The 12197-nt window shown below is 56.5% G+C and overlaps 2 protein-coding genes across 8 annotated transcripts in view, besides 1 other annotated feature; both read left to right on the plus strand.

Moving 5' to 3' along the window:
* LINC02210-CRHR1 (LINC02210-CRHR1 readthrough) overlaps positions 1 to 12197 on the plus strand; it is a 215483-nt gene that overhangs the window by 201431 nt on the left and 1855 nt on the right. The window contains exons 7-13 of one of the 2 annotated variants that reach the window (NM_001256299.3): positions 7439 to 7545; positions 8318 to 8438; positions 8641 to 8794; positions 9104 to 9164; positions 11362 to 11434; positions 11676 to 11761; positions 11938 to 12073. In NM_001256299.3, coding sequence (NP_001243228.1) covers positions 8409 to 8438; positions 8641 to 8794; positions 9104 to 9164; positions 11362 to 11434; positions 11676 to 11761; positions 11938 to 12073 — 540 coding nt within the window. In that variant the 5' untranslated portion in view covers positions 7439 to 7545; positions 8318 to 8408. The remainder of the gene's footprint in view (positions 1 to 7438; positions 7546 to 8317; positions 8439 to 8640; positions 8795 to 9103; positions 9165 to 11361; positions 11435 to 11675; positions 11762 to 11937; positions 12074 to 12197) is intronic. The other variant, NM_001303016.1, reaches the window with a different exon arrangement.
* CRHR1 (corticotropin releasing hormone receptor 1) overlaps positions 1 to 12197 on the plus strand; it is a 51509-nt gene that overhangs the window by 37457 nt on the left and 1855 nt on the right. For 5 of the 6 annotated variants that reach the window (NM_004382.5, NM_001145148.2, NM_001303020.2 and 2 more), the window contains 7 exons: positions 7439 to 7545; positions 8318 to 8438; positions 8641 to 8794; positions 9104 to 9164; positions 11362 to 11434; positions 11676 to 11761; positions 11938 to 12073. In NM_004382.5, coding sequence (NP_004373.2) covers positions 7439 to 7545; positions 8318 to 8438; positions 8641 to 8794; positions 9104 to 9164; positions 11362 to 11434; positions 11676 to 11761; positions 11938 to 12073 — 738 coding nt within the window. Of the gene's footprint in view, positions 1 to 7438; positions 7546 to 7784; positions 7872 to 8317; positions 8439 to 8640; positions 8795 to 9103; positions 9165 to 11361; positions 11435 to 11675; positions 11762 to 11937; positions 12074 to 12197 lie in introns of all 6 variants that reach the window. The other variant, NM_001145146.2, reaches the window with a different exon arrangement.
* Positions 1773 to 2274: an enhancer, noted in NCBI's record as "H3K4me1 hESC enhancer chr17:43900915-43901416 (GRCh37/hg19 assembly coordinates)". NCBI's record gives its function as "activates a minimal SCP1, AML or CMV promoter by ChIP-STARR-seq in naive H9 embryonic stem cells {active_cell/tissue: H9 hESC(naive)}" and the evidence as "EXISTENCE:reporter gene assay evidence [ECO:0000049][PMID:30033119]".

Here is a 12197-nt window from a genome sequence, read left to right on the forward strand (position 1 = left end):
AGTCCCACCCTTTTCCACAACACATGCCTGAGAGATACATCCAGTTCCAGCCACAGGGCTGTATGGAAACCAGGGACGGGATGGAGGTAGCAATGCAGTTTGAAAAAGCCCTTGGAAAGCCTTTTAAAATGTTAAATGTTTTTGAGCAGATATTGCTTACACAGAACTCAGAAGGTACAAATGGGAATACAATGTCCCCTCCCACCCCGTCCCCAGCCACTGGATTCCCTCCCAGAGGCAACCATTTTGCCAATTTCACAAGTGTCCTTCCAGAGACATTCTCCGCATACACGAGTAATTTTGTATACGTATTCTTTTTTGTTTTTACCTGAATGTTGCATGTTATACACACTGTCTACACCTTGCTTTTTTCATATAATCATCTATCTTAGAGATGGTTCCATATCAGTACATAAAGAGCATCTTCATTCTTTTTGCATTTGCATAATATCACAAAATGTACCATAACTTATTTAAACCAGTCTTTATTCTCAGTCTTTAGTTATTACAAATGCTGCTGCAATGAATAATCTTTGAAGGGTGATATTTGGCAGAGGCACAAATATATCTATCCTGGAGCTGCTACTGCCCTCGGTCTCTCCCACCCTGTCTCCTTTCCCACCCGACGCTTTCTCCCTTGGTGCTGAGGAAGACGGGGGTCAAAGGGCAGAAGGGGGGACACCCCAGGCTGTCCGAGGGCCAGGGATTCTGATTGTGGAAGAGAGAGACTGACCTAAGCAGTCCCAAGAATCCCGTCGCCTAAAGATCAGAGCTGGAAGGGACCGTGGAGACTCTCCTTCCCATCTTGAGGTTCCCAGACTTGCCTGGTTATAAGAATCGTCCAGAGGCAGATCTCCTGAGGTCAGGAGTTCAAGACCAGCCTGTCCAACATGGTGAAACCCCATCTCTACTAAAAATACAAAATTAGCCGGGTGTGGCGGGATTACACCTGTAATCCCAGCTACACGGGAGGCTGAGGCAGGAGAATCGCTTGAAACCAGGAGGCGGAGGTTGCAGTGAGCCGAGATTGTGCCATTGCACTCCAGCCTGGGCAAAAAGAGCGAAATTCCATTAAAAAAAAAAGTGGGGCCAAGTGCGGTGGCTCACGCCTGTAATCCCAGCACTTTGGGAGGACGAGGCAGGCAGATCACGAGGTCAGGAGATCGAGACCATCCTGGCCAACATGGTGAAACCTCATCTCTGCTAAAAATACAAAAATTAGCCGAGCATGGTGGCGCATCCCTGTAATCGCAGCTACTCAGGAGGCTGAGGCAGGAGAATCACTTGAACCAGGGAGGCGGAGGTTGCAGTGAGCCCAGATCGCGCCACAGCACTCCAGCCTGGCGACAGAGCAAGACTCTGTCTCAAAAAAAAAAAAAAAAATGGAATCTCCCAGAGCACTTGTCCAAATACAGGTCCCAGGGCCACACCCAACACCTAAGAAATCACACTGTCCAAGGAGGACCTGGGAATCTGTGTCTTTCATGAGTGCCCCAGGGGAGCCTTCTGATGGGGCAAAAGTGAGAAACTCTAATCTAGTGCGACCCGTTCACACTACAGATGGGGAGACTGGGGCCCAGAAAAGGGGAATGATTCACACAAGGTCACGTGGCTCTGGGACATTCCCTTTTTTTTTTTTTTTTTTTTTTTGAGACAGAGTCTTCCTCTGTCGCCAGGCTGGAGTGCTGTGGCGCGATGTCGGCTCATTGCAACCTCCACCTCCCTGGTTCAAGTGATTCTCCTGCCTCAGCCTCCTGAGTAGCTGCGATTACAGGAATGCACCACCATGCTGGGCTAATTTTTGTATTTTTGGCAGTTAAGTCAGAGCCCGGAACCCAGGGCTTTGGAGCCCAGGCTCCGGAGCACAGGCTCTGCAGCCCAGGCTCTGCTTTGCCCACTGCCAGGTATCTGGCGTGAAACAAAGTTAACGGAGAAAGAATCACTTTCCTTCACCTGTAGCTCCCACCCCGGCCTGGCAAGCTTTGGTTAGCCCCACCCCTGGCTTCCTGGCCTCAAGTCACTGAGCTAATGCGGGGCTCTGCTGTCTCCTTCCGGAAGCTGCAGCTAGGTCAATGCCTAGCTTAAAAGACTCACGAGTTCTTCCACGGTGCTGCTCTGGCAGGGCGAGGGGCTGCCTGGCATCTCAGATCCCACAGGCCAGACCTTTGGGTGGCACTCAAGGCTGGGGTGGGTTGGTCAGGCTCCCTGATGATCTGATCTGAGCAGGGAAAGCCCTCAGCTTGCTAAGCCCCCACACAGAGAGCCCACCTGGGAAGTCCTGGGATTGGGAGGAGGGCTCCTCCTGGACTGGGGGAAGGAGGTGGGGTTCCAGGTTAGGAGACTTAGTTGGGCCAGAGGAGATGGCCTTGGCCTTGGCTGGTGGGGTGGGAGTGGGCAAGACCGTTCAGGGATGTGAGGAGCCCGTAGCCTGGCACACAGTAGAGGAGGTGGGAGGAAAGGAAACAGGGCTGGTGCTCAGAGGAGCGGGTCAGTGCTGTCAGTGACTCAGGACCACACGCCATTGCAGAGAGGGATGGTGTCCAGGAGGCACAGCTAAGCCATGAGGTCAGGCTGCAGGCCGCACTGTCTGTCCCAGCTTCACGCCCTGCACTCAACCCTCCTGAGGGTCAGCGCGGGGTCTTCGTGGTTCACCTGTCTCTCCTGCTCTATTGCAAGCCCCTTCTTTTCAGTTGGCTGATGGGGACACTCGGCAGCCCCCATTTTCCCCAGCACCCTTCAAAGGCCTAAGGGCAGTAGGTTAGCCACCCTCAGCCTGCCCTGCAACACCCAACCCTGCCAGGACAGGGGTCTCTACCTCTGTCCACCAGCAGGGTTAGGACAAGGAAGAGGATCGGGAGCCCGGTCTCATCAGCCCCCTCTTTGCATTGCAGTGGGAATAGCACGGACCTTAGGGTTTGGGTTTCAACGGGAACCTGCTGCATGACCTTGAGGAGGCAACTTAACCTCACCAAGTTCCCAAAAATGGTGGCCAGGAATTCAGATCTCTGCCTTCTGGGGATGGAAGGGTGGTGTTGGCCTGTCTTGGCCTATGGGAGACGTTCCATTCACCTGCCGCCCCCTGTCTCTCATCTCCCCTGTGAGGTCAGGGGAGGTTGTAGTGTACACCTGGGGGAGTGACCCGCCCCACCCCCCAGCCCATCCGTGCCTGGCTCTGCCATCTCTTTCCTCTGCAGCCCCTGCTGGCCTGGTGCCTAGCACTCTGGGTAATCGATTAGTTTAATTAGTGAAAATGCCATTCCCTTCTGCCAGCCCCCAGCCTCGCCAGACCCCTCCCAGAACTGCAGAGGAAAGTATCCAATTAATTGAGTGGTAGGTTTCTCAGCTCTGGGCCTGGGCTAAGCCCTAATTAAGCTCCAGCGCCCTGGGGTATCGCAGATAATGGATTCGCAGAAGTCTGCCTGTGAAATGGGACTTGCAAGGGCACCTCAAGGCCAGGCACCCCAGGAGATCTGCCCGCAGCCAGCACCACCAGGGGACAGGCCCCCAACTGTTGCATGCATGGCTGGCCGGGGGATGGCACTGAGCCCCCAGCACCACCCCTACACCTGCTGCCTGTATCAGCACCCTCTCCTCCCCCCACCACCTCCCGCTACTACTGTTCACTCCCTTCCCCACCGTCCAGCCTTCCCCCACCCACCCAACACTTGCACACACTCTATCCCCTTTCCCCACGTTCTGCTGCGCACAGGAGCCTGGGCCTCAGGCACAGCCTGGGAGAGCACACCGTGGTGGGACATGAAACGGATTCTGGGGGTCTGGTTTGTGGACCAAGGTTCACTGCTCACCGTGTGGGGAGAGGTGAGTGGTGGTTGGACCAGGGCTTCTGAACTGCAGAGGTGCTTTTTCCTAAAACCAAGCTCCGATTCCATGGGCCTGGCGTAGGGCATACATTCCACTTTCCTCAAGATCTCTGCGTGCTCCTCTGCGTGCTGTTGCTGGGCCAGGGGCCACCCTTTGAGGATCGAGGGGCTGGAGTGAGTGCCCACTGCAGGGTAAGAGGAGTAGCTCTGGAAGCCTCGGTGGAGAGGACGTGCCAGAATGGAGTGGGCACCAGTGGGGAGCTTGGAAGGGAGGTCTCATTGCCACCAACCCAGAGAGGCATCAGGACGGATCTGGCACTGCAGCGCCTGGGACGAGGTGGTGTCCTGCAGAGAGTCCAGTCAGAGTCAGCCGGGCACAAATTGCTTATTCAATTCAGATCACTGAGGGTACAGCGGAGTGGCCTCTGCCAAGTACCACGCTGTGCCACCCTCCTTAGGGCGGGGTGCCTGCTGGTCTTAGGTCTCCAGACTGGATGGAGATGGAGTGCTGGTCAGGGCCCGAGGGGTAGCTGTGCCCATTTGTCCTTCGGACATCCCAGCTGCTTTGCTGTTATCGTGGCCATCGGTCGGGGTGTCACTGGCTGTCCCTGGGGGTGCTGCTGACTCTCCTCTCCAGGTATCACTGGCCACCTCTCAGGGTGTTCCTGGGTGCCTCTTAAGGCCTTGCTGTCTCTCTAAATAATGCTGGCCAGAACTCTGGTTGTTATTGGAAATGTCACAGTGTCACTGGCTTCTGTCTGGGTGTCGCAGGATGTATTTGTCTCAGGGTATCAGCAGCCATCCCTCAGGCTGTCTCTCCAGCTGTCTTCTCAGGTTGCATGATGCTGATGTGGCCGATGAGAGACAGGGCTTGAACCCGGCCCAGGCCCGACTGCTCAGGGAGGCACACTGAGACTTTGTCCCCCGGGAATGGTTTGGCCTGATTCTCCCTCAGGCTCTTGGAGGAAAGCCCTCTTGGGCGCTATTGTCCCAGCAGGAGGTCCCCCGAGGCTCCTGGGCCCAAAGTGGCGTGAGACCACCCCAGAGAGTGCCTCTGCTTTCAATTCCTGCTTGTCCCCCAAGAAATGTCGCAGGGGGCCGGACACGGTGGCTCACGCCTGTAATCCCAGCACTTTGGGAGGCCGAGACAGGTGGATTGCCTGAGCTCAGGAGTTCGAGACCAGCCTGGGCAACATGGCAAAACCCCATCTCTACCAAAAAATACAAAATATTAGCTGGGCATGGTGGTGCATGCCTGTGATCCCAGCTACTCGGGAGGCTGAGGCAGGAGAATCACTTGAACCCAGGAAGCAGAGGCTGCAGTGAGCTGAGATCCTGCCACTGCACCACTCCAGACTGGGCGACAGAGTGAGACTCCATCCCTCCCCCACCCAAAAAAAGAAATGTCCCTGGGAAACAGGGAAAAGAGGGAGCTTAAAGCCAGGCAGACCCAGGTTCCAGATACCGGCTGCGTGGCGTGGCCAATTATTCAGTCTCTTCTACGGAAAGAACTGGGATGAGAGGAGCAGTCTCCAAGGGCAGCTGTGGGAAAGAAAAGCAGTAGTGTCTGCAGAGCTCCTGGCACAGTGCTCAGCATACAGCAGGTGCTTAACAGATAACTCCTCCCCACTCCAACCCCAAGGGCCCGGTACGGCCTGACTCGGGAGTGAGGCAGGGGCCCTGGAAGGCAGCACTGAAGGGTCTCCCTGCACACTGCGCTCCTCCCGCCCAGCCTGGGCCTGTGAACAAGGCCGGGGTGTTGTGCCATGCTCGGCTCCACACATGTTGTCATTACCCAGGGGCTTCTCAGCATGGATTTGTGGAAAATTTAATAAAAGGATATTAAATACCAGCTCCAGACAGCCTGTGATGTGTGCATATCTTCCAGAGCCTCCGGATTGGGGCATCTGCCGCCAGGCGCTCAGAGACCCTCCCCACTTGCACGGGTGATAGGTACCCTCTCCTCACTCCCCTCTCTGTCTCTGTCTCTCCTGCCTTCATTTACACCTCCCTGGATCCCAGTCCTTTGGAGGCTGGAGTTGCTAATGTAATTACCTGCCATGTTCCAGAAAGCCTCTGCCTGGAAACCAGCTCCAAGAACAGAGCTTCTGTAGCAGCCTCTGGAGAGGTTCCCCAATGAGGGTGCTCCTTCAGAAGGGCCTTGGTGGCCGGGCGGAACTGGGCATAGGGTCTTGGCTTCTCCTGGGATGCCTGGTGGATAGGGCTGGACTTGATCTCTGGTTTCAAGTGGGTTCTGTAATTCCAACAGGAAGGCCTATGGAGTAGCTCCTTGGTGGCCAGTAGCTCCTTGGTGGCTCTGAGAAGATGATGAGGGCCGTTGTGAGCTCAGTGCTTCTCAGCACTTGCATGTCACCCACCTTTGTGCCTCATGATCATTCAGCCCCACCCTAGAGCCTAGAAACGGGGAGGAAGGGAGGTGCTGCCAGGGACCCCTCCCTTCTCAAAGTCACCTGCTTTTCAACACCCGTCTTTCCTTCCTTCACTCACACACTGCTTTGGAGTTTGACTGCGTGTCAAGCTCTTGGTTTCTAGGCCCTGCTTCTTGGGACCTATAAAAGTGTGGATGGGGGCTGTGCTCTTGGGCAGGAGTCTGCAGAGAGCTGGGCATGGGGACTGACCAGTCCCCTATTATGGGCTGGGGACCTGTTTGCAGCCTTCGTATCTTGCCAATCTACATGTGCAGGCAAGAGGTGGTTTTGGAGTTGCGCGACCTCCAGCGCGTCAGCATAACCTCTGTGCTGTTTTCCTACAAAATAAAGCCCAGATGCCTTTCCGGCTCCCCCCACGGGGTTGCCCTGATGGTTTAAGACGATAACAGATATGAAAATCCTCTGTAAACAGGAAGGCTTCACCACTCTTGGAACTCAAGATTGCTGTAAAGAGGAGGGCAGTGACCTCCATCAGTATATTAAATTCATTAAGAAATAAACCCGGGGAATGTGTTACAGTCCTGGGAGAGGATCCTGCTCACTCTGCACAGATCCCCTTGGGCCAGGGATGGGGAAGGCCCCGGAAAGTGAGTTATGGAGCCTAAGGAGACTTTTCTGTGGTTTCTGCTGATTCTGTGGATGCCAGAGCCCAGCAGCTGCCCGGCCCCTCCTTGCTCACAGGAGCAGGCGGCATTGCAGCAGGAGGGATTTAGGGGTGGCTGAGAAGGTGGTGACTCAGTTCAGAAATGGGTGGAGAAGAGAAATCCCGGGAGTTTGGTGTCTCTGCAGCTGAGAGGTCCACCTGGTGTTCTGACTGGGTGGCAGCATGGGTAGATGCGAGTGTGAGGGCGCACCTGTGAGCCGGCCACATGTGCTTGTGCATGCAGGGGCGGGGGGTCCATGTGGAGTGGGGAATCCCACGTGATGTGGAGATTCAGTTCGACACAACACGGAGCAGTGAACACAGCATGGGATTCAGGGACAAGCAGAGCCTCAAACTGGACGGCGTTGCTCTGCAGCGAGGCCTGACCCTCAGCAGATGCTCAGGAAGGGGGAGTGGCCCTTGAGATCATGACCCGCTCCATCCCAGCCACCCCTAGGCGATGTCCTCACAGAGCAGCTCCCATCCAGCAGAAGGCTCACCTCTGCCCCTCTCTCCTGCTCCAGAAAAAAAGCAAGGTGCACTACCATGTCGCAGTCATCATCAACTACCTGGGCCACTGTATCTCCCTGGTGGCCCTCCTGGTGGCCTTTGTCCTCTTTCTGCGGCTCAGGTGAGAAGACCCCAGCACTGCCTCCTCCTGTCCCCAGGACCTAGAGCAGAAGCAGGGTGGAGAAGTGAGAGGAGCAGCTCTAGGTTGGGGTGGGGGTTGCTGGGAGAGGGTGGCAGGGGCTGGCTTATCTGAGAGTCTCAGGTCTCTGGGAACCTCTGGCAGAGCCGCTCTGCCCTCTCCCCAGTAGCTGCTGGAATGGTGGGGAGGGACAAAACTTGTCTTATGTCACCCATACCCAGGCCAGGCTGCACCCATTGGGGTGACCAGGCAGATGGAGCCCTGGAGGTGGGGGCTCCATGGAGTGGTGCCCCATTTCAGGTTCGAAGGTACCTGGGCCCCAGCACTACCGCCAAGGATGCAGGTGGCAGAGCCGGGGATGGGGATGGTTGGGATCAGGAGCCGAGCATCAGGGCTGGAGGCTGGGAGCAGGGCTGACCCCTGTGACTGTCCATCCTGGAATGGCAGGGAGTAGAAGGCACCCCCAGGGGAAGCGGGCATCGCCAGGAATCCAGCTGCCCTGGTCCATGGAGCACAGGCTCCATGGAGTGCCAGGCTCTGCCTGGGGCTTATGTCTGGGTGGGCTGCAGGCAGGAAGGGCTCCATGGGGCATTAGGAGAGCCTGGCTGTCACCTCCCTGTGTGACTTGGCCAGTCAGCCCCACCCTGTGCCTCAGTTTCCTCATCTACACATCTGGGCTGGGGTGATGGAGGTGGCCTACCCCTCATCCTCTCTCTCCTATCGCTCCCATCATCCACCCGCCCTGCTGCACCAGGAGCATCCGGTGCCTGCGAAACATCATCCACTGGAACCTCATCTCCGCCTTCATCCTGCGCAACGCCACCTGGTTCGTGGTCCAGCTAACCATGAGCCCCGAGGTCCACCAGAGCAACGTGGTACGTCCTGGCAGGGGAGCGGGGAGCAGGTCAGGCCAAACCCAGGTCAGAGGAGGGGCCCGCCTGCCCTGCAGAGGAGGAGCCCACAGAACAGGAGTGGGATCCCAGGGTATGCCCTGTCCTGCCCTGGGGAGGCCCAGGCCCAGGGTTTGGTGCCTCCCCTGCCCCCCATCATCATCTCTGGTTGGGGGTGGGGTGGCAGGGCTGGTGCAGGTTGGTGACAGCCGCCTACAACTACTTCCATGTGACCAACTTCTTCTGGATGTTCGGCGAGGGCTGCTACCTGCACACAGCCATCGTGCTCACCTACTCCACTGACCGGCTGCGCAAATGGATGTTCATCTGCATTGGCTGGGGTGAGCTGGGCAGCCACCTCCGCAGCCTGGGCAGTGGCGGCCGCCGGGCTGCCCTCTCCTCCAGACTCAGGCCAGCGGGCTGGGGGGCCTGAGGGATGGAGGTCGGGTTGGGGCGGTAAGGTGTGCACGATAGCCCTCTGCTCCTCTTGGGGGTGGGCGGCAGTAGAAGCACCTTGAAGGAGGTGTGTGAGTTTGAGATCCACCCTGAGTAACCCCAGACCCCCTGGAGCCTGGGCTGCACTGGGGTTCTCCAGGCCCACATCCTCCAGCCCCCGCTGAGGGCTCTGTGACAGCCCATCTCTCCCCCAGGTGTGCCCTTCCCCATCATTGTGGCCTGGGCCATTGGGAAGCTGTACTACGACAATGAGAAGTAAGTCATCTCCTTTCCCTTCCTGACCCCAAGGTTTAGGCTCCCAGCCCAGCTTGGTGACACTCCCCACGGGCATTGGCCATGCTGGCTTTTTCCCCTCAGGACCATGGTTTCTGCATCTATAAAGGGAGAGATCTGGGGGCTGGACTCATTCAGAGGGTCCCTGCCTGTGCTCTGCCTGGGTGGGGCTGGACAAGCAGGACCCAGCCTCCTTTATCTGCCTTGAGCTTACACAGGAAGCAGCCTGGAGCCAGACTGCCCAGGTTCAAATAGCTGTGTGACCTTGGACAGATTACTGCAGTGTGCCTCAGTTTCCTCATCTGTAAAATGGACATGCTACTGCCTCAAAGGGCTGTTGTGGGGTGATATGAGTCCATCTATATTAAGCATTTACAATAGCTCCTGGCACATAGAGTAAATGCTATATAAATGTGTTCTATTAATATTAAGACATCTTAATAAAAGAGTCCATGAATTTAATAGAAGTGGACCTAGATGATCTCAGAGGCTTCTTCCAGCTCTGAAGTTCTTTGGTTCCTTATGAAATGGACTCAGATGTTTCCAATCGTGCCTGGAAACTTGATTTCTGCTGCAGTGGAGCTCAACTTTGGCTCACATTAGAATCACCTGGAATGCTTGGAAAAGTACCAATGCCCAGGCTTCACCCTCAGAGAATCAGGCGCAATTGGTCTGGGGTGTGGCCTGGCACCCAGAAGTCTTGAAAACTGCCCAGGTGATTCTAATGTGCAGCTCAGATTGAGAACCACTGAGAGAGAGCGGGGCAGAAAAGGTGGACATGGATGGCAGGGGAGCCCCAGGACCTTCTTTGCCAAACAAGTGTTCCCGGGAACCTATCTGACTGACGGACCTGGCGTCCAAGTGGCCTCCACCACAGTGACAAGCCCTCTCCTCCCCCATGGAGGGGAGGGGGCCTGCACGGCTTCATTGGGCTGAAAGAGGAGCCTGGAAGATTATCTTGCGTGTTTATGTGGTTGACTCCCTCCTGACTCCCTCCTGACTCAGGCTGGCTGAGGCCTTGGGAAGCCGAGGCAGGCGGATCACTTGAGGTCAGGAGTTTGAGACCAGCCTGGCTAACATGGTGAAACCCCGTATCTACTAAAAAAAAAACAAAAAAACAAAAATTAGCTGGGTGTGGTGGTGCGCACCTGTAGTCCAGCTACTCGGGAAGGCTGAGGCAGGAGAATCTCTTGAACCCAGGAGGCAGAGGTTGCAGTGAGCCAAGATCGTGCCACTGCACTCCAGCCTGGGCAACAGAGTGAGACTCCATGAGTCTCAAAAAACAAAGCAAAACAAAAACTGTTTGGGCTAAAGGAGAAAGTGAGTCTGAGCGGCTCTGAAGCTCCACCTGGTGGTGAGAATTCAACACTGCAACAGAGAGGATCTGGGTGTGAGAAACCAGAAACGAACTTGCAGACCAGAGGCCCGAGGACTGGACCCGGCCCTCAGAAGCTGTGTGTGGCCAGCATGGTGTTTTCTGAAAACTCGATTTTGTAGCCAACCTTTAAAAAATCCAAAGGTTTCATTTACAAATCTCAATTTCTGGCTTATGAGATCTAGCCACTGGGGGTCTTCATACCCACGAGGACATAAGGGCTTCCAGTTTGTCTGGTCCCCACCCACTCCCCAGGCCTCCCTGGAGCTTGCTGGAGGGACACTCGGGAAAATGCAAAGCAATTACCTCCTGCAGCAGGTAGAACCTGTGCAAGTATTCCTCTCAAGGTTGTTCAGGCTGTGACTGGACAGATTCAGGCTGAGATTGCGAACTGCTGGGTGCCCACTGGGTGACAGGTGTGGTGCCACTCCCACCAGCAGCCCCCCAGAGGGCATGCTGGGCCTCAGCCACTGCCAGGGGACTGTGAGGAGGAGCCGAGGATGCAGCCTCGTGTTGGGCCCATGCCCGTTCCCAGCCACTCAGTCTTTCCCACTGTCTACCTCCTGCCCCGGTGCTTGCTTCCAACTTTGCATCTCATCACAGAGGATGCTGTCCGTTCTGCAGATGGGACAATTGAGGCATGGCAGTGGGATCAAGTGACTTGACCTTCTGCCAGGGTTGGAATTGGGACATCTACCTCTTGGCCTCCAGCCCCAGTCCTGTCCTGGCCAAGCACTGTCCCTCCCCATGCCATCGAGGTGGACGCAGATGACCCTTCCTCCCCTTTCCTCTGTGGCCTTCTAGGTGCTGGTTTGGCAAAAGGCCTGGGGTGTACACCGACTACATCTACCAGGGCCCCATGATCCTGGTCCTGCTGGTAAGAACCTGGGTAGGGGCAGGAGACAGGGCCCAGTGGGGAGGGGCAATCAGTGCCAACCGTGGACAGAAAGGACTCCTCTACCTAGAGGTGGGGGCCACCCAAAGAGGGGGCATGGGTCAGAGATGTGCAGGTGCTCATGAGGAGGAGGGAGAACAGCAGGGGCACTGAGGCCAGAGCTGAGAAGCCTGGGTCCCAAGCCTCTTGCACACTCCGGCCCGCTGGTGTGCTCAAATTGCAGATCAATTTCATCTTCCTTTTCAACATCGTCCGCATCCTCATGACCAAGCTCCGGGCATCCACCACGTCTGAGACCATTCAGTACAGGTAACCGGGTACCACCTTCCTCAGGCCTCCCCCTGATGAAACCCCTGCTCCCCATGCCTCTCACGTGCCAGAGACCTGCCACTCCCTCCCCCGACCTGGCCCTCTTTGCCGAGCCAGCGGGCAGCCCGTCCTGGGGTGGGCTGTGACTCCGAGCCTCCCCACCCGCCCCACCCCAGGAAGGCTGTGAAAGCCACTCTGGTGCTGCTGCCCCTCCTGGGCATCACCTACATGCTGTTCTTCGTCAATCCCGGGGAGGATGAGGTCTCCCGGGTCGTCTTCATCTACTTCAACTCCTTCCTGGAATCCTTCCAGGTACAGCCCTGGAGGGACACATCAGCACCTCCTTGGGTGGGGATTCTGCCAAGCAGAGGCCTGGAGGGCAGGAGGCCAGGGAGAAGCAAGGGGCAGCCCAGAGGCTGGGTGGGCAACACCTGCA

Source organism: Homo sapiens, chromosome 17 (assembly GCF_000001405.40).
Source record: "Homo sapiens chromosome 17, GRCh38.p14 Primary Assembly".
NCBI classification, from domain to species: domain Eukaryota; kingdom Metazoa; phylum Chordata; class Mammalia; order Primates; family Hominidae; genus Homo; species Homo sapiens.